Below are 4,006 nucleotides of genomic sequence, written 5' to 3'. Positions count from 1 at the left end.
AATTTATAAGTAAAATAATCTGGATTTGGTAATACTTTTTTTTGGAAAGGCAGTTATTTCAATTTATTTTATATACAAACATATAATTACTCAAGTTATCCATTTATCTTGTGTGAGTTTTGGTAGTTTTACATTTTCCTTTCAAGAAAGTAATCTATTTCATCCAAATTATTTAAATTATTGACATGTGTTTTTAGTAGTATTTTCTCGTTATCCTTTTAATGTCCTTGAGATCAGTAGAGATTATTGATATGGTTTGGCTGTGTCCTCACCCAAATCTCAACTGGAATTTTAGCTCCCATTACCCCACAGGTCATGGGAGTGACCCAGTGGGAAGTAATTGAATCATGAGGGTGGATTTTTCCCATGCTGTTCTTGTGATAGTGAATAAGTCTCAAGAGACCTGATGGTTTTTATAAAGGGCAGTTCCCCTGCACACACCCTCTTGCCTGCCACCGTGTAAGACTTGCCTTTGTTCCTCCTTCCATTTCTGCCACGATTGTGAGACTTCCCCAGCCATGTGGAACCATGAGTCCATTAAACCTCTTCTTCTTTATGAATTATCCAGTGTCAGGCATTACTTCATAGCAGTATGAAAATGGACTAAGACAGTGGTCGTCTTTCATTTCTGATTCTGGTAATTTGTGTCATCTCTATTTTGTGGAGGACAGTCAAGTACTTTTCTTCATAAGATTGAAGCTTAGATTATTGATTTTAGCTATTCTTTGTTTGTATTCTATACATTTAATTCTATAAATTTTTCTGTACCCCTTTCACTGGATCCCACAATTTTTTTTATTTTTTTTATTTTCATTTATTTCATCATTTAAAAAATGAGACATCTTTGATCCATGTGTTATTTAGAAGTATGTTGTTCACTTTCAAGTATTTTGGTATTATCTAGCTGTATTTTTGTTTTTTATTTCCATTTCATTTCCATTGTTTTCTGAAAACTTACTTTTAATAATTTTTGTTATTTTATATTTATTAAGATATGTTTTATGCTAATAATGGGATCTATCCTGATGAATGTTTTATACAAGTTTGAGCAGAATCTACATGTTGCTGATATTGAATATACTGTCCTACAAATGGTCATTAGATTAAGTTGATTGACAGTGCTGTTCTGTTCATCTATACTGTTATATTTAATTTAGCATTTCCTTTTGATTTGTTTTTAGAGTTTCTGTTTCCTTGCTTACCTCACCCATTTGATCTTATGGCTTATCCATTTTTTTTCATTAACAACTTTAACATATTATTTGTAATTACTTTAAATTCACTGGTAATCCCAATGTCTGTGTCATATCACCGTCTGGTTTTGATACTTGCTTTGTCTCTCTAGACTGCTTTTTGTTGCATGTGGTGTGCCTTGTATGTTTGGTTGTGTTGTTCTGTATATGTCATATTGGGTAATATTCTGAGTAAATAGGCCTCTAATGTGAGGATTTACTTTAATCTGGCTAGGAGTTGTGTTTTGTTTCATGATTTTTGTAGTTCTAGATGCCAGACCAAATTTCTTTGGTCTTCTTGTGTTTGGTGTTCTCCCTTGAATTTGGACTTCCCTAACTTCTCTATTCACAGAGTCTGCGTCTTTACTCTCCTGCTAGTTTATACTCAGCCTTCAGCAATTTGTCAAAATTACTATTTAATGTTATTACCAATTAATTTATAGATTCATTGGCTTCTGCTCTAGTTAAGAATATCTTCATTCTACCTTTCTGAAATTGTCTTTCCAGATCCCCAGTTGTGGTTTGCCCTGCAAACTTAGTTCTCTGGTGAATCCAAGAAAAGTCACTGATTTTATTTTATCCAGATTTTTCTTGCTTTATGTATGTTATTGACAATTTTTAAGTTGTTTACATCTCTGAGTTGCTATCAAATTCTCCATAGACTTTTGGTTACTTTGTAGCTTATTGTAGGTCAATCACACAGAGTCTAAAGTGGTATACCAGATATTTTAGCCTCTTTAAAGTCTAATCTGTTGCTTCCATGTGCAGAACTAAGAGTGAGCTCTTCTTACTTCTGTCCAAGTGTGTCCTAACCCAGTGGAAACTAAATGTTACAAATTTTACACTGCAAAGGATATATCATAGTGTGCCCAAGTAACAAAGCTAGACTATTTTTAAAACTTGGGCTGAATACAGATACCAAAATATCAACAGCATCCAGACAGTTATAAGCTGGTAGTTGAAGAAACTAGTAGCAGATAATTATTTAAATTTATGTCATGAAAATCAATTATACTCTGAAATTCAACTTGACATTTCAAATAAAAAGCTAAACTGTTTTACTTTAGTAAAGTTACATCACCTTACTGATAACAGAACTTTACAGACTTCAATAAATTTATTAAATAATCTGGTAAGCAAAGGAAAAATATTTGTTTATAGACTCTGGGCCAGAAATGAGCATTTCCCCAAAATCACAACCAAAACAAGTACATACTTTTTTGCAACAAAAATATAAGTGTCTCAGCATCATATTCTGAATAGAATATATTTTGTCTAATTGCAAAATCTGTGTTCATTATGTGACATAATTTTATAAAACACTGGAATTTATATCAAAGCTCCTCACCAAACTACTTGCATGGTAGTTAATTTTGTAATTCATTATTTATTCAATTGTTTTGAAAATATTTTGTATCTATCCTAATATTTTTTAGGAGGGAAACTTTAGGACATTCTTTCAAATTTAAATAAAATTATATTGGAAGCACACTGAATTTGGATTAAAGAAGAATTGTTATTTTAACAATATTGGAACTTTCTCTTCTAAACAATCTCTTCACTCAGCTCTTTTCTGAAGATTTCTTAGTGCGTAGTTCTTGATCTATATTTTGATAAGTTAAACCTTCTTATAATTTGTCACTGAGTAAATACGTTATTTGGGCTGAAACTCATAGCAACTGCATTTTATCTATTTGTGGCTTTCTTTAGTCATAGGTAAAATACAAATTCCATATATATATGTATGTGTGTGTGTGTGTGTATACATATATATATATATATATTTTCTATTATTAGAAGCCTATACTGGTTTTATCTTATAATCTGTGGCATAAAACAGTCTATATAACAGTTCTGTTTTATCCTATTGTTACATTTTGACCCCTTCTTTTTTCTTTTTCTTTTACTAGGATTTGAAATCCATCAATAGTGGTCCATCAATATTATTTTCCTTGGTGTTTTTGCTCTATGAATATTTCTTAATCCTCAATCCTCACATTCTTTTCTCTCATGGACTTCAGATAAAGTCTTACTAAATATTGACTATGTGCTTTTTTTCTAAAAGATTTATCTGTTTCCCGCTGTGCTCTTTCTGATTGTATTTTTCTTTCACAGGCATACAAGTCAATTTTCTCGAGAGTCAGAAGTGGTTTCAAATATTAGAACTACTTCCAAGGCTCTTAACCTTGGGCACATTTCCTAATCTTTCTCTTGATGATTTTCCTATTTATCCTTCCTCTCATTTATATTGTAACTTGTAGGTTCATTACTTTAAAATAGTTAGATATAATTTTACCTGTTTTATTTGTAAAAAACAAATTAGGCACCAATATTTTGTTCAGGAATGTCATGCCTCATTAAAAATACTTAGCGTTGTAAAAAACTGCTTTCAGTCCATTTTATACATAATGTTCAGGAAAAATAATAGAATTGTTTTATTATAATGTTAATTAATAATATTATTGAGTTTGTGTATGTTCTAAAGTGTTTCTATTTTAGAGATAAGTGAAGATGACAGTGACTGTTATACTCAAGTATAGGACAAAGTTGTGATGTAAAAGTATACAATCAAATAAATTCATATATCATTAATATATCACAACCACTGCAGTGACTTTTAGTAATTTTCTCCAAAGTGGTGGGAGAGTTAAATATCAAGTCACAAATATATGATTTTCTAATTCTAGAATTATATTGTGAAAGTTATATATTTTGTCTATATAATTAAAATATTGTTTTCATCACGCAATATATTTTTACATGAATTTAAGTGT

Source organism: Homo sapiens, chromosome 18 (genome assembly GCF_000001405.40).
Source record: "Homo sapiens chromosome 18, GRCh38.p14 Primary Assembly".
Classification (NCBI taxonomy): domain Eukaryota; kingdom Metazoa; phylum Chordata; class Mammalia; order Primates; family Hominidae; genus Homo; species Homo sapiens.
Note: the sequence above shows the minus strand (reverse complement) of the source record.